Source organism: Homo sapiens, chromosome 19 (genome assembly GCF_000001405.40).
Source record: "Homo sapiens chromosome 19, GRCh38.p14 Primary Assembly".
NCBI lineage: Eukaryota > Metazoa > Chordata > Mammalia > Primates > Hominidae > Homo > Homo sapiens.
The window spans coordinates 46,791,525-46,811,793 of NC_000019.10; the positions used below are offsets into that span (position 1 = coordinate 46,791,525).

The 20,269-nt window shown below is 48.4% G+C and overlaps 1 pseudogene; it reads left to right on the forward strand.

Moving 5' to 3' along the window:
• On the forward strand, positions 18,059-18,732 carry HNRNPMP2 (heterogeneous nuclear ribonucleoprotein M pseudogene 2; annotated as a pseudogene).

Below are 20,269 nucleotides of genomic sequence, written 5' to 3' on the forward strand. Positions count from 1 at the left end.
CAGGAGAACTGCTTGAACCCAGGCGTCAGAGGTTGCAGTGAGCGGAGATCACACCACTGCACTCCAGCCTGGGCAACAGAGTGAGACTCTGTATCAAAAAAAAAAACAAAAAAACAAAAAATTCCTTGGCTGCTAGAGCTTGCATTCTAGTGCAGAGAGACAAGACAATAAACTTGGGCTTGGCCGGGTGCAGTGGCTTACACCTGTAATCCCAGCAGTTTGGGAGGCCGAGGCGGGCGGATCACTTGAGGTCAGGAGTTCAAAACCAGCCTGGCCGACATGGTGAAACCCCATCTCTACTAAAAATACTAAAAAATTAGCCGGGTGTGGTGGTCCACGCCTGTAATCCCAGATACTCGGGAGGCTGAGGCAGGAGAATCGCTTGAACCTGGGAGGCAGAAGTTGCAGTGAGCTGAGATCTCACCATTGCACTCCAGCCTGGGCAACAGAGCCAGACTCTGTATCACACACACACACACACACACACACACACACACAAAATCCTTGGCTGCTAGAGCGTGCATTCTAGTGCGGAAGAGACAAGACAATAAACTTGGGCTGTCAGCTGGAACTAAGCGTTGGGAGAAAGCAAAAGCATCCTATGAGTGACAGAGTGAACAGTTCAGCCACTGGAAGGAAGTGACATCTGCACTGAGATCTGAAAGATAAGAAGGAGCCCATGGCATAATGTGGAAACATTCAAAGGACGCGTGTGAAGCCCTGAGGCAACAGAGAGGTTTCCATCTCTGTTAGCAGTGCTCACAGACATGGTTTTATCCCCACTAATCCAGGAGACCAGCTCACACTCCCATTTTCCTGATTTGGAAGCAGATAAGGGTAATGAGGCTTGCTGTGGCCCAAACCCCAGGCATAAGCAAGAAATCTGAACTCAGATGTTTCTGATCCTTGTCTGCATCTCCTATCAGACACCCTGGCTACCCCTGCACTCGGCTGTCTCCAACTAGACATTTCCTTCAAGGGACAGTCATGTATTCTGAGCCCAGTGTTGGGTCCTGCGATGGGTGATACCAGGGACCCAGTGGCGAACAAGACAGTTCTGGCCCCGTTCTGCTGGGACTCAAAGTTCAGGGGGGGACACAGATAGTGATGATACAGAGTGGGCAGGGCTGGGATGGGGGAGCCCAGAAGGGATGCTTGACCAGGCTTGGGGGTCAGGGAGAGCTTCCTGGAGGAGGAGGCATCGGAGCTGGGATATGAAGGAGTTGGACCAATCCCAGGGAAAGAATATTCCAGACAAAGAGAATAGCACATGCAAAATCCCAGACTTCTGGCCAGGCATGGTGGCTCACGCCTGTAATCCCAGCACTTTGGGAGACTAATGCGGGTAGATTGCTGGAGACCAGGAATTCCAGACCAGCCTGGCCAACATGGCAAAACCCTGTCTCTTCTGAAAATAAAAAGTAAAAAAAATAGCCAGGACTAATGGCACACGCCTGTAATCCCAGCTATTCTGGAGGCTGAGGCAGGAGAATCACTTGAACCCAGAAGGCAGAGGTTACGGTGAGCCAAGATTGCACCACTGCACTCCAGCCTGGGCAATAAAGCAAGACTCTGTCTAAAAAAAAAAAAAAAAAAAAAATCCCAGACTTCAGAAGAGTCTGGAATATTTCAAAGCACAGATCTAACTGGGCCACCCCTACTCTCTGAACAGCCCCAGTGGCCTCCCTCAGGATGAAAACCACTCTTCAGCTAGGCATCTGTCCGCTTGGTGATTCATTTATTCATTCATTCAACAAACCACATCCACAGAATAGAAGACTGAGAGACATCAAATAGAAGGAGACGGATGCCCATGAGCTGACATGGGATCGTTGTGATGACTCATCTGGCCAATATTTATCAAACACTGAGAAAAACAGATGAGGAGCCGGGAGCAGTGGCTCACTCCTGGAATCCCAGCACTTTGGAAGGTTGAGGTGGGTGGATCTCTCAAGGCCAGGAATTCAAAACCAGCCTGGCCAACATGGTGAAACCTCATCTCAACTAAAAATACAAAAATTAGCGGGGCGTGGTGCTACCTACCCGTAATCCCAGCTACTCGAGTGGCTGAGACAGGAGAATCACTTGAACCTAAGAGGCAGAGGTTGCAGTGAACCAAGATTGCACCACTGCACTCCAGCCTGGGCGACAAAGCATGAAAAGAAAAAAAGGCAAAGAAAAACAGATGAGAAAAACACGAGCAAAACAGATGAAAATCCCTTCTCTGCTAGCACTGATATTCTAGCAGCAGGACACGGTCAATAAATACTAAACATAATATGCATGTAGGCTAAGTGGGTTATCTGGCTTGTAACTTATTGTCACAAAGCAGAAAGTGCTGTGGAGGGAAATATATATGTATGTATGCATGCATTAGGAAAAGTGAGGAATTAGATGAATGAAGGGTAAATTGCAATAATAAATCAGGCTGGGATCAGTGGTTCACAACTATAATTCGAACACTTTTGGAGGCCAAGGCAGGAGGATCACTTGAGCTCTGGAGTTCAAGGTTATAGTGAGCTGTGATCGTGCCACTGCTGCACTCCAGCCTAGGGAACACAGTGAGACCTTGTCTCTAAAAAAATAAAAATTAGGTGGTCACAAAAGTATAGAGGGAGGCCAGGCACAGTGGCGCACACACTTGTAATCCCAGCAACCTGGGAAGCTGAGGCAGGAGGATCGCTTAAGCTCAAGAGTTCGAGGCTAGGCACAATGGCTCATGCCTGTAATCCCAGCACTTTGGGAGGCCGAGGTGGGTGGATCATTTGAGGTCAGGAGTTCAAGACCAGCCTGGCCAACATGGTGAAACCCCACCTCCACTAAAAACACAAAAATTAGCTGGGCATGGTGGTGGGTACCTGTAATCCCAGCTACTCAGGAGGCTGAGGCAAGAGAATCACTTGAACCCAGAGGACGGTATTGCACCACTGCACTCCAGCCTAGACGACAGAGTGAGGCTCCATCTCAAAAAAAAAAAAAAAAAAAAAAAAAAAAGAGTTTGAGACCAGCCTGGGCAACATTTCGAAAGCTCATCTCTATGAAAGAATACAAAAATTAACCGGGCGTGGTGATGCACGTCTGTGGTCCCAGCTACTCAGGAGGATGAGGTGGGAGGATCACTTGAGACTGGGAGGTTGAGGCTGCAGTGAGCAGAGATTGCACCACTGCACTCCAGCCTGGGTGACAGAGGGACACCCTGTCTCAAAAAAAAAAAAAAAATAGAAAGGGGAAAATCAAGGTGCGAGAAAGTGTGTATAGAATGGGGAAAAGCAAATGAACACAGCATCTGTTTTATTTTTTAATTTTTTTAATCTTTTATTTTTATTTTATTTTATTTATTTATTTATTTTTGAGACAGAGTCTCACCCTGTCACCCAGGCTGGAGTGCAATGGCGTGATCTCAGCTCACTGCAACCTCTGTCTCCCAGGTTCAAGCGATTCTCCTGCCTCAGCCTCCCAAGTAGCTGGGACTACAGGCGTGTGCCACCATATCCGGCTAATTTTTGTATTTTTAGTAGAGACGGGGTTTCACCGTGTTGGCCAGGATGGTCTCGATCTCCTGACCTTGTGATCTGCCCACCTCAGCCACCCAAAGTGCTGGGATTACAGGCGTGAGCCACTGCACCCAGCAAATTTTTTATTTCTATTTATTTATTTTTTTGAGACAGAGTCTCACTCTGTCGCCCAGGCTGGAGTGCAATGGCACAATCTTGCCTCACTGCAACCTCCACCTCCTGGGTTCAAGTGATTTTCCTGCCTCAGCCTCAAGAGTAGCTGGGATTACAGGCACCCGCCACCAGACCCAGCTAATTTTTTTTGTATTTTTAGTAGAGATGGGGTTTCACCATGTTGGTCAGGCTGGTCACAAACTCCTGACCTCAGGTGATCCACCCACCTCAGCCTCCCAAAGTGCTGGGATTACAGGTGTGAGCCACCGCGCCCAGCCAACAGCATCTCTTTTAAATGCATTGACTATTCAAGAATTTGCAGAAACTGCTAAAAGGATTTGCTTTCAGGAAGGAAAGCTGTGGCTTTACAGTTCGGTGCCGGGACCCTGAAATCTGTCATCTTGACCTTGGATCTCACTTAGCAGCTGAAAGATCTTGGGCAAATCATTCAACTCTCCTGTCTCAGTTTGCCGGGCTGTGCAGTGGGGATCACTGTAGCTTCTGCCTTGGAGATCACGGAGGGGTGAGCAGAGTTCATGTGTATGGAGTGCTTTGGTTGGTGCCCGGCAAATCACAACCCCATGGTATTTTAAGTTATGACGACTTTTTGCAGATAAATATTATAAAGAACGGAAAAGAAAGAAAGATTTCTTCTAGGCTGAGTGCGGTAGCTCACACCTGTAATCCCACCACGTTGGGAGGTCAAGACAGGTGGATAGTTCAAGTCCAGGAGTTCGAGACCAGCCTGGGTAACATGACAAAACCCCGTCTCTACCCCCAAATATACAAAAATTAGCCGGGCGTGGTGACGCAGGCCCGTAGTCCCACCTATTCTGGAGGCTGTAGTGAGAAGATCGCCTGAGCCTAGGAGGTGGATGTTGCAGTGAGCTGAGATCGTGCCACTGCACTCCAGCGTGGGAGACAGAGTGAGACCCCATCTCCGAAAAATAAAATAAAAGAGAAAAGAAAAGAGATCGCTTCCAGTGCATACCCCGGGCACAGATTCACAAGCTGGGAGCTTTTCCCCTGAGGACCCAGGGACCACTGGACAAAGGGAGGCCTGAGAGGCCCCTGAGGGACCCAGCAGCTGGTGACCGGGCTGCGGTGTGGAAGCTCTGGCAGCCCTCCAGGTAATCAGCGCCCCAGGGTTTGGACAAGAGGCCCAGGCCAGTTGGGCAACTTGAGCACAGGCCAGGCTCAGCCTAGTCACTGCCCACCCACTCTAGGGCTAGAGGTGCCAGACAGGGGGATGTTGGAGGGAGGAGGCTCCAGGACTCAGGAGACCCCAGAATCCTAGACCCTTCAGGGAATGTGGGGTGGGTCTAAGCCAAGAGGGCATGGTTTGAGGGTTTGGATGATGTTGCCTGGAACGCCTCACACCCTGCCCTCCCGCTTCTTAGAGAGGAAAATATACCAGCTGGTCTCAGCCGGCTTTCCTCCCCCTAAGCCAAACCTCCTACCCAGATTCTGATTTCATCATTGGAAAAAAAAAAAAAAAAAAAAAAAAAAAAGGCCTGGGGCTCCAGGAAGGGGGTGAGAGAGACCAGGAAGAGGCTGGATCCCACAGAGCAGAGAGGCCCTTTCTGGCCTCAGTTTGCCACCTAGGAAATGGCTTTAGGTCTTGTCTTGTATTGTCTTGTCTTTTTTCTCTTTTCTTTTCTTTTCTTGAAACAGTTTTGCTCTCTCGCCCAGCCAGGAGTTCAGTGGCGCAATCATAGCTCACTGCAGCCTCAAACTCCTGGGTTCAGGCTATCCTCCTGCTTCAGCCTCCTGAGTAGCTAGGACTATAGGCACACGCAAACATGCCTGGCTAATTTCTTAAATTTTTTTGTAGGGGCCGGGAGCGGTGGCTCACGCCTGTAATCCCAGCACTTTGGGAGTCCAAGGCGGGCGGATCACGAGGCCAGGAGATCGAGACCATCCTGGCTAACACGGTGAAACCCCGTCTCTACTAAAAATACAAAAAATTAGCCAGGCGTGGTGGCGGGCGTCTGAAGTCCCAGCTACTCGGGAAGCTGAGGCAGGAGAATGGCGTGAACCCAGGAGGAGGAGCTTGCAGTGAGCTGAGATCGCGCCACTGCACTCCAGCCTGGGCGACAGAGCGAGACTCCCTCTCAAATAAATAAATAAATAAATAAATAAATAAATAAATAAATAAAAACAGTAGGACAGAGGAAGCAATCAGATATGCATTAGTCTTAAATGAGCAGAGGGATGACTTTCTACCTGTGAAGACGAGCTATCAGTTTATGTGACCAGGGTGAAATTCAACAGAACTGTTTTAGGGTAAAAATCTTGAGGCTCACAAGGAATTTCCTTGTGGGCAAATTGTGAGGGAGATATGTAGCTTTTTTTTTTTTTTAATCTTTGTAGCTATCTTATTTAGGGATAAAATGGGAGGCAGATTTGTCTGACATAGTTCCCAGCTTAACTTTTCCCTTGGCTTAGCGATTTTGGGGACAGACCCAAGATTTATTTTCCTTTCACATAAGAAAAAAAAGCAGGCCAGGCACAGTGCCTCATCCCTGTAATCCCAGCACTTTGGGAGGCCAAGGCAGGTGGATCACCTGAGGTCAGGAGTTCAAGACCAGCCTGGCCAATATGGTGAAACCCCATCTCTACTAAAAATACAAAAATTACTCAGGCTGTGGTGGTGCATGCCTATAATCCCAGCTATTTGGGAGACTGAGGCAGGAGAATTGCTTGAACACAGGAGGCAGAGATTGCAGTGAGTCAAGATCATGCCACTGCACTCCAGCACTCCAGCCTAAGTGACAGAGCAAGATCCTGTTAAAAAAAAAAAAAAAAAAAAAGATTCCTGGACTGCTAGAATCTGCATTTAATAAATACCCCAGGAGGTTGTGGGAGGCTTAAAATTACATGGGTTTATTCTCTGAAAAGTCCAGAGATTCCAGCCTGGACAACATAGCAAAACCCTGTCTCTACAAAAATGCGAAACTTAGCCAGGCATGGTGGCTCATGCTTGTAGTCCCACCTAATTGGGAGTCTGAAGCAGGAGGATCATTTGAGCCCAGGAGGCAGAGGCTGCAGTGAGCCAAGATCACATCATGGCACTCCAGCCTGGGTGACAGAGCAATACCCTCTCTTAAAAAAAAAAAAAAAAATCCAGAGAGTGAAGTTCGAAATGGTTTCACTGGGCTGAAACCAAAGCGTTAGCAGGGCCACGCTCTGTTAGGAGGCTCTAGAGGAGAATCTACATCCTTGCCTTCTCCAGCTTCTCGAGGTCATCTGTGTTCCTCGGCTCATGGCCTTTTCCTCCATCTTCAAAACCAGCAGCATAGAATCTTCAAATCTCTCTGCTTCCATCATCCCACTGCCTTCATTCTCTTCTATGTCAAATATCCTTCTGCCCCTCTCTTATAAGGGCACTCGGGATTAATTTACGGCCCACCCAGTTAGGCCAGGATCATCTCTCCATCTCAAGATCTTTTATTGACTCACATCTGCCAAGTCTCTGTTGTCATTTAAAGTAATATTCACAGGTTCTAGGGACCAGGATATCTTTGAGGTTTATTAGGCAGCCAACCACAGGAGCCATGCATGGATACAGGGTATGTAAATTCATGGGACTGGTTGGAGATTCACTAGGAAGTGAGTATAGTAGGGCCAAAGAAAACAATGGGTTCAATATGAAAGGCTGAAAAGACAAGAAAACCTAGCTACTTGGGAGGCTGAGGCAGGAGGATTGCTTGAACCCAGGAGATCAAGGCTGCAATGAGCTATGATTGGGCCACTGCACTCTAGCCTGGGCAGTGTAGTGAGACCCCATGTCTACAAAAACATTAAAAAAATAGATAGGTGTGGTGGCATGCAACTATAATCCTACCTACTCAGGAGGCAGGGGCAGGAGGATCACCTGAGCCCAGGAGATCGAGGCTGCAGTGAGGTACGATTGTGCCACTGAACTTCAGTCTTAACACACACACACACCAGAGTGCATTGTAAAAGTAATTATTATTTTGTGAAATTTTTGCTTAATTTATATACATATTTGCACACATACTGCATTCCAGGTAAAATATACATCTAGCTAGGGTGTGGTAGCTTGCACCCAAGTCCCTGCTAGTGAGAGGCTGAGGTGGGAAGACTCCTTGAGCCTAGGAGTTCAGACCAGCCTGGGCAACACAGCAAGTCCCCATCTCTAAATTAAATTCCTTGAGCTCAGAAATTGGAGGCTGCAGTGATCTCACCACTGCATTCCAGCCTGGGCAACAGAGCGAGACCCCATCTCTAAAAATAAAATAAATATGCTAGGCACGGTGGTTCACACCTGTAATCCCAGCACTTTGGGAGGCCAAAGCTGGCAGATCACTTGAGGTCAAGAGTTCGAGACCAGCCTGGCCAACATGGTGAAACCCCATTTCTACTATGAATACAAAAATTAGCCGAGTGTGGTGGCAGTCCCCTGAAATCCCAGCTACTCGGGAGGCTGAAGCAGGAGAATCACTTGAACCCGCGAGGCGGAGGTTGCAGTGAGCTGAGATCACACCACTGTACTCTAGTCTGGGCGACAGAACGAGACTCTGTCTCAAATAAATAAATAAATAAATAGATAAAATAAATAATCATAAAATAAATACATGAAATGTATACATCCTGTTGTGGATCAGGTGTCTCTAGTTCAAAATTACTTGAGAAACACTGGTGTGCCAAGCCTTCTGTGGTCCATGAGTCTCACCACGTCACTCCTTTCCTCACACATTTTTTTTTTTTTTTGAGAGGGAGTCTTGCTCTGTCGCCCAGGCTGGAGTACAGGGGCGCGATCTCGGCTCACTGCAAGCTCCGCCTGCCAAGTTCAAGCGATTCTCCTGCCTCAGCCTCCTGAATAGCTGGGATTACAGGCGCCCGCCACCATGCCCGGCTAATTTTATTTTTGTACTTTTAGTAGAGATGGGTTTTCACCGTGTTAGTCAGGATGGTCTCGATCTCCCAACCTCGTGATCCACCCGCCTCGGCCTCCCAAAGTGCTGGGATTACAGGCGTGAGCCACCGCGCCCGGCCTCCTCGCACATTTTTCTCTTCATTTCTCCAGAATCTTCACATTTCCACTCAGGAATCTGCTGAGTCCACCAGTCTGGGTCACGTGTCTCCCCAGGCTTCCCCCAGGCCCCTGGACTCCTAATCCCAGCCCTGGCCACCCTGAGTGGTCAAAGTCTGGGGACCACGGTTTGCCACCTCCATTGGACTGAGGGTGGGGGTTGGCTGTCTCCACCTCCACTGTGTCCCAAGCACGGCCCTGCCTGGGGCCAGGCACACAGAAGGGTCTTCAGGAATGTGGGTTGATGCTTTGCTTTCAGAAATAGGAAGGAGGACCGGGAGCACTGGCTCACCTCTGTAATCCCAGCTACTCCAGAGGCTGAGGCTGAAGGATCATTTGAACCCAGGAAGTGGGTTCAAGTGACTCCATCTCAAAAAAAAAAAAAAAAAAAGGCTGGGCTCAGTGGCTCATGCCTTAATCCCAGCACTTTGGGAGGCGGAGGTGGGTGGATCACCTAAGGTCAGGAGTTTGAGACTAGCCTGGCCAAGACGGCGAAACCTCATCTCTACTAAAAATACAAAAAATTAGCCGGATGTGGTGGTGGGCGCCTGTAATCCCAGATACTCAGGAGGCTGAGGCAGGAGAATCACTTGAACCCGGGAGGTGGAGGATGCAGTGAGCCAAGATCACACCATTGCACGCCAGCCTGGGTGACAAGAGCGAAATGTCGTCTCAAAAATAAATAAATAAAATAAAATAAAAATTAAAAAAATTAAAAAGTAAATTAAATTAAAAATAAAAAAGAGAAAGAAACAGGAAGGAAAGGAGGAGATGTCAGGAGCGTTGCACATTCCAGCCTGGGGAACTGGAGAACAGCCCTGCCCTTCTCTTCCTACCTCCCTGATTGTTTATTTAAGAGCTGGCCTGTCTGGGCGGCTCAGCCCTGTCTCCCCCAGCTGCAGGGTGGCAGGCCCCAGTGGCTCCTGGTGCAATTGTAACTCAGGGCCGGGCGTGGTGGCTCACACCTGTAATCCCAGCACTTTGGGAGGCCGAGGTGGGCAGATCACATGAGACCAGGAGTTCCAGACCAGCCTGGGCAACGTGGTGAAACGCCTTCTCTACTAAAAATACAAAAAATTAGCCGAGCGTGGTGGCAGGAGCCTGTAGTCCCAGCTACTCGGGAGGCTGAGGCAGGAGAATGGCGTGAACCTGGGAGGAGGAGCTTGCAGTGAGGCGAGATGGCTCCACTGCACTCCAGCCTGGGCGACAGAGCGAGATTCCGTCTCAAAAAAAAAAAGGTAACTCAGGTTTCTGAGCCTTGAAGCCCAAAGCTGGGGTGGCAGGCACTGCCCTCCCCACCTCCCCCAAAATCCAGCCAAGGTGGGGACTTGTTTCCCTACCACAGCAAGGTCCCAGCCTGGGAACCTACAGGTATTTCAGGGCTCAGGTGACCTGGATGGAAAGACATTCAATACTTCCTAGGAGGCAGGATAAGACAATGGTTGAGGGGGAAATGGAGGCAGAGAGATGGGCCTCCCCAGCTTCTTCTTTTTTTTTTTTTTTTTTTTTGAGACAGAGTCTCGCTGTGTCACCCAGGCTGGAGTACTGTGGCACAATCTCGGCTCACTGCAACCTCCACCTCCCGGGTTCAAGTGATTCTCCTGCCTCAGCCTCCCGAGTAGCAGGGATTACAGGCCCACGCCAGCATGCCTGGCTAATTTTTATATTTTTAGTGGAGACGGGGTTTCACCACTTTGGTCAGACTGGTCTCAAACTCCTGACCTCAAGTGATCCTCCCACCTCGGCCTCCCAAAGTAGTGAGATTACAGGTACAGGTGTAAGCCACCACGCCTGACACCCCCCTACTTCTTAGATGATCTTGGGTAACGGATTCCATCTCTGAACCTCGGGTCATCTCTGAAATAGGATGAAAGTAATACCTACCCCAGATGTGCCAGCAGCAGTAAAGAAAACCTTAGCATAGGTCTGGGCAATGCCATGAGATCAGTATATTAGGGGCTGGGGGGCCTATGACTGTGATTGTTACTTTTTGCTTTAGAGAGCCCTAGTCAGATGTGAGTCAGGCCATACAATGCAGCCTCTGAAGGGACATAGCCCTATGGGCGTGGAGGGGGAGGTTGTGAAATAGCCTTGCCCTGGGGGTCTGAGGGAACAGGGTCCTACCCTGGCGGGTCTAAGGCCTGCCCTGGGGGTCTGAAGGATCAGATATCTCAAAAGGCCAATCTACAACAGCGGTGTTATTGGGGCAGTAGCCTATCTTCTAACCTCCAGGATAATGGCTGATAATCTTTTATGTCTGCGCCTTAGCAGTACTCAGGGTCCTCTCCTCCCCGCAGCCTGATGACCTCCCATTAACTTTACAAAAGCGGTTGAGTTTTGGGCAAAGCCTATTATTTAAACTGTACCCTAAATGTCTTCCAAAGTTTGGCCCAATAGCCCAGGAATAATGAAGGGAAAGGCAAGATGAAGTATGGGTTAGCTTAGCTTACTGTTATAATTTTTCTTACTGATATAATTTTTGCAAAAGTGGGCCAGGCACGGTGGCTCACACCTGCAATCCCAACACTTGGGAGGTCGAGGCAGGTGGATCGCCTGAGATCAGGAGTTCGAGACCAGCCTGGGCAACATGGTAAAACCCTGTCTGTACTAAAAATACAAAAATTAGCTGGGTGTGGTGGTGCATGCCTGTAATCCCAGCTACTCTCAAGGCTGAGGCAGGAGAATCGCTTGAACCCAGGAGGCGGAGGTTACAGTGAGCCGAGATCGTGCCACTGCACTCCAGCCTAGGTGACAAGAGTGAAATTCTGTCTCGGAAAAAAAAAAAAAAGATTTTTGCAAAGGCAGTTTCAGGTTTGAGGGGACACAGGCCCAGCCCTTTGGGGTCTGAGGGGACATAGGCCTGCCCTTGGGGGTCTGAGGGGACGTAGGCCTGCCCTTGGGGGGAAGCGCTGAGAGGACATGGCCCTATAAAGCCAATTCTAGGGCCAGGCGTGGTGGTTTATGCCTATAATCTCAGCACTTTGGGAGGCCCAGACAGGTGGATCACTTGAGGTCAGGAGTTCGAGACCAGCCTGGCCAAATGGTGAAACCCTGTCCCTACTAAAAATACAAAAATTAGCTGGGCGTGGCGGGGGGCACCTGTAATCCCGGCTACTCGGGAGGCTGAGGCAGGAGAATCTCTGGAACCCGGGAGGCAGAGGTTGCAGTGAGCCGAGATTGTGCCACTGCACTCCAGTCTGGGCAACAGAGTAAGACTCCCTCTCAAAAAAAAAAAAAAAAAAAGCCAATTCTGAGAGTATACAATCACACAGCACATTCCTAGTGATTATGTGGGTGTCACCCCTGAGGGCAGTTGGCCTGAAGGACCAGGACATTTTGAGTCTGGGAGGCACTGCTACCAGCTCAGACGCCTGGGCCTAGACATCCCTTGAATAAACTAGCTAATGAAAGGTCCCACCTCCACTTCTCCTTTCTGAGAGAAGTGTGAGGCCTGGGGCCTGGATTTGAGAGGTGTTAGAATTTGCACTTTAGCCCAGAGTGAGGAGCAGTGTAGGTGCTGATTAACAGGAACTGGACAAAGTCCTCCCAGAGCTGAAGAGCCCTGGCATTTTGGGGGTGGGAGGGGCAGGGCAAAGGGGCTCCAGTGAGAAGCACACCTGAGGCTCCAGTGAGGCCCATGAAACCGAGGAGGCTAATCCCATCCTGACACAGACAAGGCAACCATGTCTCAAAGTCCCACAGCCAATGAATGAAACAGCCAGGAGAGAGGCCAGGACCTGGGAACTTTATGCTTCCAACCACCAAAGCCCCGTGGTGGGGGGCCTCATATGGCCTGAGAAAATCAGCAACACACATTCCACACAACTGCTTTCTTCCAAGGGCCAATTTATTATTATTATTATTATTATTATTATTATTATTATTATTATTATTTTGAGATGGAGTCTCACTCTGTCACCCAGGCCGGAGTGCAGTGGCGCAATCTCGGCTCACTGCAACCTTTGCCTCCCAGGTTCAAGCAATTCTTGTGTCTTGGCCTCCCGAGTAACTGGGATTTACAGGCATCCACCAACCATGCCTGGCTAATTTTGTATATATATATTTTAATATGGAACGCTTCACACCTGGGATTACAGGTGTGAGCCACTGCCCCCGGCCCGAATGCCAATTAAAAAACAAAAAACTTTACTATTATTATTTTTATTTAAGGGACAAGGTCTCACTCTGTCACCCAGACTGGAGTGTGGTGGTGAGATCATAGCTCACTGCAGCCTCTAACTCCTGAGCTCAAGTCATCCTCCCATCTCAGCCTCCCGAGTACCTGGGACTACAGGTGTGCACCACCAATACACACATACAGATAGATAGATAGATAGATAGATAGATAGATAGATAGATAGATAGATGATAGATAGATAGATTAGTTTGTTTGTGATGGAGTCTTGCTCTGTTGCCCAGGCTGGAGTGCAGTGGTGCCATCTTGGCTCACTGCAACCTCTACCTCCCAAGTTCAAGCGATTCTCCTGCCTCAGACTCTCGAGTAGCTGGGACTATGGGCACATGCCACCACACCCGGCTAATTTTTGTATCTTTAGTAGAGACAGGGTTTCACCAGAAAAAAAAAAAACTTATTTGCTTTATCTTTTCGCTTTCCCCTGGTCCTGCCAGCCTGATTCCTTTTCCCGAATTAGGACTCCACAACTAATGTTTATCGAACATTTACTATAGCCCAGAGGTACAGCTTCTCAGCAAACCAATGGGTCCTATTAATATCCTCATTTTATAGCTGAGTAAACAGAGGTACAGACAGGTGATGTGACTTGGCCAAGGTCTCACAGCTTAATTGAGAGAGTCACATTTTTTTCTTTCTCTTTTTTATGATTATTTTAAAATTTTTAATTTTTTTTTAGGGACAAGATCTCGTTCTGTCACCCAGGCTGGGATGCAGTGGCATGATCATAGCTCACTGCAACCTTGAACTCCTGGGCTCAAGCAATTCTTCCGCCTCGGCCTCCTGAGTATAGCTGTAATCTCAGCACTTTGGGAGGCTATGCAGGGTGGATTGCTTGAGCCCAGGAGTTTGAGAACAGCCTGGGCAACATGACGAAACCCCATCTCTACAAAAAATATAGTAGCTGTGTACCAGCTACTCGGGAAGCTGAGCCTGGGAAGTCAATGCTGCAGTGAGCTGTGATTGCAACACTATACTTCAGCCTAGGTGTTGGAGTGAGACCCTGTCTCAAAACACACACACACACACACACACACACACACACACACACACACACACACACAGCCTGACAGAGGCATGCACTGTTGAAGGTGATAACGTGGAAGAGGACAAAAGTGACAGGCCAGGTGCTGGGCCTCATGGCAGCGTTCAAACTCCTGGAGCCAGCTATGCCTGAAGCCAGCCCATCGATTCCTGATGTCGCTGAAGAGTTACAATCAGGTTTTCAGCCACTTGAAACAGAAAGAGACCAAACGTACCCAGGGAAGGGACAAGTGGATTCAGCCCACTGATACGGCAATGGGAAGTAGGGTTCATGGAAGGGGGAAAGGCGGGACCGTGTAAAAGTGAGTAGGAACACGACCCATTCCAGGGGACAGACAGCAGATCATCGGGGTGGCTGCCATGCAAAATTTATAAGGGGTCATGGTGAGGTCATGGTGCCACCTTTCAGTTGCAAGAGAAAGGGAGAAGCCGTGACTATTGTGAAAGCAAAGTAGAATCTCAGGACCCCGAATTCACTAGGTCAAAGGGAAAATTAAGCTGGGGAACTGAGGCACCAGTACTGTCTTCCTTTTGTTCCCAGATTGCTGTAATTTTCCAACCCCGTATCATAGCTTAATTTACTCTTTTTTTTTTTTTTTTTTCTGAGACAGCGTCTCGCTCTGTTGCCCAGGCTAGAGTGCAGTGGTGAATCTTGGCTCACTACAACCTCCGCCTCCCGGGTTCAAGCAATTCTCCTGCCTCAGCCTCCCGAGTAGCTGGGACTACAGGCACCCGCCACCACGCCTGGCTAATTTTTTGTATTTTTAGTAGAGACGGGGTTTCACTGTGTTAGACAGGATGGTCTCGATCTCCTGACCTGGTGATCCACCCACCTCAGCCTCCCGAAGTGCTGGGATTACAGGTGTGAGCCACCACGCCTGGCCATTTTTTAAATTTCATTTTATTTATTTTTTTTGAGATGGAGTCTCACTCTGTTGCCCAGGCTGGAGTATAGTGGTAAGAGCTCAGCTCACTGCAGTCTCCACCTCCCGGGTTCATGCGATTCTTGAGCTCAGCCTCCTGAGTAGCTGGGATTACAGGTGCCTGCCACCACACCTGGCTAATTTTTATATTTTTAGTAGAGACAGGGTTTCACCATTTTGGCCAGGCTGGTCTTGAACTCCTGACCTCAGGTGATCCACCTGCCTCTGCCTCCCAAAGTGCTGGGATTACAGGTGTGAGCCACCGCACCCGGCCAACACCGGATCGTATCTTGAAGGGAGAAGGGCTTCATGCAGGATCAGTGGGGAACATCAAAGGGTCTAAGCAGCAGAGTGACACAATCAAGTTTGTGTTTAGAAGCTTCTGCACTCTCACACATTTGCTGGTGGGTGTGGAAGTTGGTACGGCCTCCCTGGAAAGCCATTAGGCAAAAGGCCTTAATTTTAGATCCTCCCACACCCTTTGACACAGCAGTTCTTCTCTGAGGGATTTATTCCACGGCTATTGTCTTGCATGCGAAAAATCACCACAGCCCTGCTTGCAGTAGCAAAAGACTAGAAGCAAACTAAGCACATACCAGGAAGGAACCAGCAAAATATGTTGTGGCCATTCATGCTATGGAACACTAGACAGCTGTAGAAAAGAATGAGCCACGTTTACAGGCATTGCACTGGCGTGCTGGTAAATACTTAACCAGGCCGGGCATGGTGTACTTCCAGCATTTTGGGGGGCCTAGGTGGGAGAAGGGCTTGAGCCCAGGAGTTTGAGACCAGCCTGGGCAACATAGCAAGAACCCTGTCTCTACAAAAAAATACAAAAATTTGTCTGGGTGTGGTGGCTTATGCCTGTAATCCCAACACTTTGGGAGGCCAAGGTGGGCAGATCACTTGAGGCCAGGAGTTCAAGACCAGCCTGGCCAATGTGGCAAAACGCTGTCTCTACTAAAAATACAAAACTTAGCCAGGTGTGGTGGTACGTGCCTGTATTCCGAGCTGTTTGGGAGGCTGCAGCATGAAAATCACTTGAACCTAAGAGGTGAAGGTTGCAATGAGCTGAGATCACACCATTGCATCCAACCTGGGCGACAGAGCTGGACTCTGTCTCAAAGAAAATACAAAAATTAGCTGGGTGTGGTGGCACGTGCCTATAGTCCCAGCTACTCAGGAGGCTGAAGAGGGAGGATCGCTTGAGCCCAGGAGGTCGAGGCTGCAGTAAACTCTGATTGCACCACTGCACTCCAGCCTGAGTAACAGAGCAAAATCATCCATATATATATATGTATGTATGTGTGTGTATATATATATACACACACACATATGTGTGTATGTGTATGTATATACACATATGTATATATGTGTGTATATATATATATACACATATGTGTGTGTGTGTATATATATATATACACATATGTGTGTGTGTGTATATATACATAATTTTTTTTTTTTGAGACGGAGTCTCGCTCTGTCGCCCAGGCTGGAGTGCAGTGGCATGATCTCAGCTCACTGCAAGCTCTGCCTCCCAGGTTCACCCCATTCTCCTGCCTCAGCCTCCCGAGTAGCTGGGCCTACAGGTGCCCGCCACCACGCCCAGCTAATTTTTTGTATTTTTAATAGAGATGGGGTTTCACCATGTTAGCCAGGATGGTCTCGATCTCCCGACCTCATGATCTGCCTGCCTCAGCCTCCCAAAGTGCTGGGATTACAGGCGTGAGCCACTGCGCCCAGCCAATATATATATATATATATTTTTTTTTTTTTTAATTTAACCACCAGCTCTCTAGGGAAGAAACAGCCCTAATTTATACCATTTGCCAATTTCTACAGTGTAAATATTCCCACTGTGGTTGATTTCTAGTTACTGATAGGATGTCATTGGATGTGGAATTCAGAAGAGACAAGCAACCACCCACTATCACTCAGGATTTCCACCAGGCAGAGATAAGTAGCCTGGAGAGCATAGATAATAGTAAAAATGTAGCAATTAGGATGCAATGCATTTGAACTATTTATTATATTTGTTTTTAACATAATTTATTTATCTGTAACTTTGTATCATTTAATTGTTAATAATACCTATGTTTAACAACTGGTTTGTGAAATTCCCAAAAGTGTAGCAATCTGCTCTTGAGAACTGGGCACAGCACACATTGAGACACAAATGGATCTTCAAGAAGAGAAAGCAAAAGCCAACTTTTGGAAAATGGCCTGGAAGGTTCTACACTGCTCACTCCCTTAATTTTAATTTTATTTATTTATTTATTTATTTATTTATTTATTTATTTATTTATTTTTTGAGACAGGGTCTCACTCTGTCACCCAGGCTGGAGTGCAGTGGCGCAATCGCAGCTCACTGCAGCCCCCTGGGCTCAAGCGATCCTCCCATCTCAGCCATCTGAACTACAGGCACGCACCACCGCACCCAGCTAATTTTAAATTTTTTTTTTTTTTTTGGAGATGGAATCTCACTATGTTGCCCAGGCTGGTCTCAAACTCCTAGGCTCAAGTGATCCTCCCACCTCGGCCTCGCAAAGTGCTGAGATTACAGATGTGAGCCACTCGCCCAGCCGTCATTGTATTTCTGTACAGCACTGTCTTTCTCCCCCACTAGAATGTCACCTCCACAAGGGTAAGAACTTGATCTATTTTGGATTGTTTTTTGTTTTTGTTTTTGTTTTTGCCATATGCCCAGTGCCTAGAAAAGCACCTGGCATATAATAGGTACTTAGTAAACCTGTGTTGAATAAATAAATTTACTATTTATTTATTTATTTATTTTGAGACGGAGTCTCGCTCTGTCGCCCATGCTGGAGTGCAGTGGTGCAATCTTGGGCCACTACAACCTCCGTCTCCCGGGTTCAAGTGATTCTCCTGCCTCAGCCTCCCGAGTAGCTGGAACTACAGGTGTGTGCCACCACACCTGGCTAATTTTTTGTATTTTTAGTAGAGACGAGGTTTCACCATGTTAACCAGGATGTTCTCAATCTCCTGACCTTGTGATCCACCCATCTCAGCCTCCTGAAGGGCTGGGATTACAGGCTTGAGCCACCGCGCCCGGCCAATTTACGCTTAAGGAAAAAAAAAAGGTGCACCAGCCTGGACAATATAGTGAGATCCTGTCTGTACAAAAATTTTTAATAAATTATCCAGGTGTCATGGGCTTCAGCCTCAAGCGCATGGCCGCTCCCATTGACCATGTGGGCCAGACCATAGAGCACATGGGCTCTGGCGTGGAGCACATTGGCCCTGCCATCGAACACGTGGGCCTGAACATGGAGCACATGGTGCTTGCAGGCATGGAGGCTGGCTTGGAGCACATGGGCCCCATGATGGATCACATGGTCACTGGCCTAGAGCACATGGGTGCCAAGAGCCTCACGTGCATGGGCCTGGCCATGTGTGGCAGTGGCGGTGCCACCTTTGACCATGCCATCGGTATGGAGTGTGGCAACTTTGGAAGCTTTGCAGGTTCCCTTGGTGGAGCAGGAGACCATGCTCCTGGGCATGGCCAGGAAGGCATGCCAAATATTTGTAAGAAATCTCCCATTCAATTTTACATGGAAGATGCTAAAGGACAAATTCAACGAGTATGGCCACATGCTGTACACTGACATCGAAATGGAGAACGGGAAGTCCAAGGGGTGCAGTGTGGTTAAGTTTACGTCCCCAGAGGTGGCTGAGAGAGTCTGCCGGATAATGAACAACATGCAGCTGAATGGCCAAGACTGATGTTCAAATAAATAGAAATGCTTAAGCAGTTGCCTTTTTTAAACATCAATACCAGACCTCTGAATTTGTATTTTTTCTTGTTAACTTTTTTTTTTTTTTTTTGAGACAGGGTTTCGCTCTTGTCTCCCAGGCTGGAGTGCAGTGGCGCGATCTCGGCTCACCACAACCTCTGCCTCCCGGCTTCAAGAGATACTCCTGCCTCAGCCTCCTGAGTAGCTGGGATTACAGGTATGTAATACCATGCCGGCTAATTTTGTATTTTTAGTAGAGACAGGGTTTCTCCATGTTGGTCAGGCTGGTCTCGAACTCCTGACCTCAGGTGATCCGCCCACCCTTGGCCTCCCAAAATGCTGGGATTACAGGCATGAGCCACTGTGCCCGGCCCTCTTGTTAACCTTTTTATTTTTCTTTTCCTTTTTTTTTTTTTTGAGACACAGTCTCACTCTGTCGCCCAGGCTGGAGTATAGTGGTGCAATCTCAGCTCACCGCAACCTCTGCCTCCTGGGTTCAAGCGATTCTCGTGCCTCAGCCTCCCAAGTAGCTGCGACCACAGGCATGTGCCACCACGCCTGGCTAAGTTTTGTATTTTTAGTAGAGATGGGGTTTCACCATGTTGGCCAGGCTGGTCTCGAACTCCTGACCTCAAGTGATCCACCCGCCTTGGCCTCCCAAGTGCTGGGATTACAGGCATGAGCCACCACACTGGCTTTTTTTTTTTTTTTTTTTTTGAGACAGAGTCTCGCTCTGTCGCCCAGGCTCAGTGCAGTGGCGCGATCTCGGCTCACTGCAAGCTCCGCCTCCCGGGTTCACGCCCTTCTCCTGCCTCAGCCTTCCGAGTAGCTGGGACTACAGGCACGCGCCACCGCGCCCGGCTAATTTATTTATTTATTTTTATTTTTGTATTTTTAGTAGAGACAGGGGTTTCACCATGTTAGCCAGGATGGTCTCGATCTCCTGACCTTGTGATCCGCCTGCCTCAGCCTCCCAAAGTGCTGGGATTACAGGCATGAGCCACAGCGCCTGGCAGCTTTTTTTTTTTTTTTTTAATTTAGCATTTTAATTTTTTTTTTTTTTTTTTTTGAGACAGAGTCTCGCTCTGTTGCCAGGCTGGAGTGCAGTGGTGCAATCTCGGCTCACTGCAACCTCCAACTCCCTGGTTTAAGCGATCTTCCTGCCTCAGCCTCCTGAGTAGCTGGGATTACAGACACGTGCCACCACATCCAGCTAATTTTTTTTTCTTTTTTTTTGTATTTTTAGCGGAGACGGGGTTTCACCATGTTGGCCAGGATGGTTTCGAACTCTTGACTTCGTGATCCACCTGCCTCAGCCTCCCAAAGTGCTGGGATTACAGGTGTGAGCTACCGCGCCTGGCCAATCATTTTATTATTTATTTATTTATTTATTTACTTTTGAGAGAGTCTCGCTCTGTTGCCTACGCTGTAGTGCAGTGGCACAGTCTCAACTCACTGCAAACTCTCTCTCTCAGGTTCAAGCAATTCTCCTGACTCAGCCTCCCAAATAGCTATACTACAGGCACTCACCACCACACGGGGCTAATTTTTTTTGTATTTTTAGTTTCACCATGTTGGTCAGGCTGGTCTCACCTGACCTCAGGTGATCCACACACCTTGGCCTC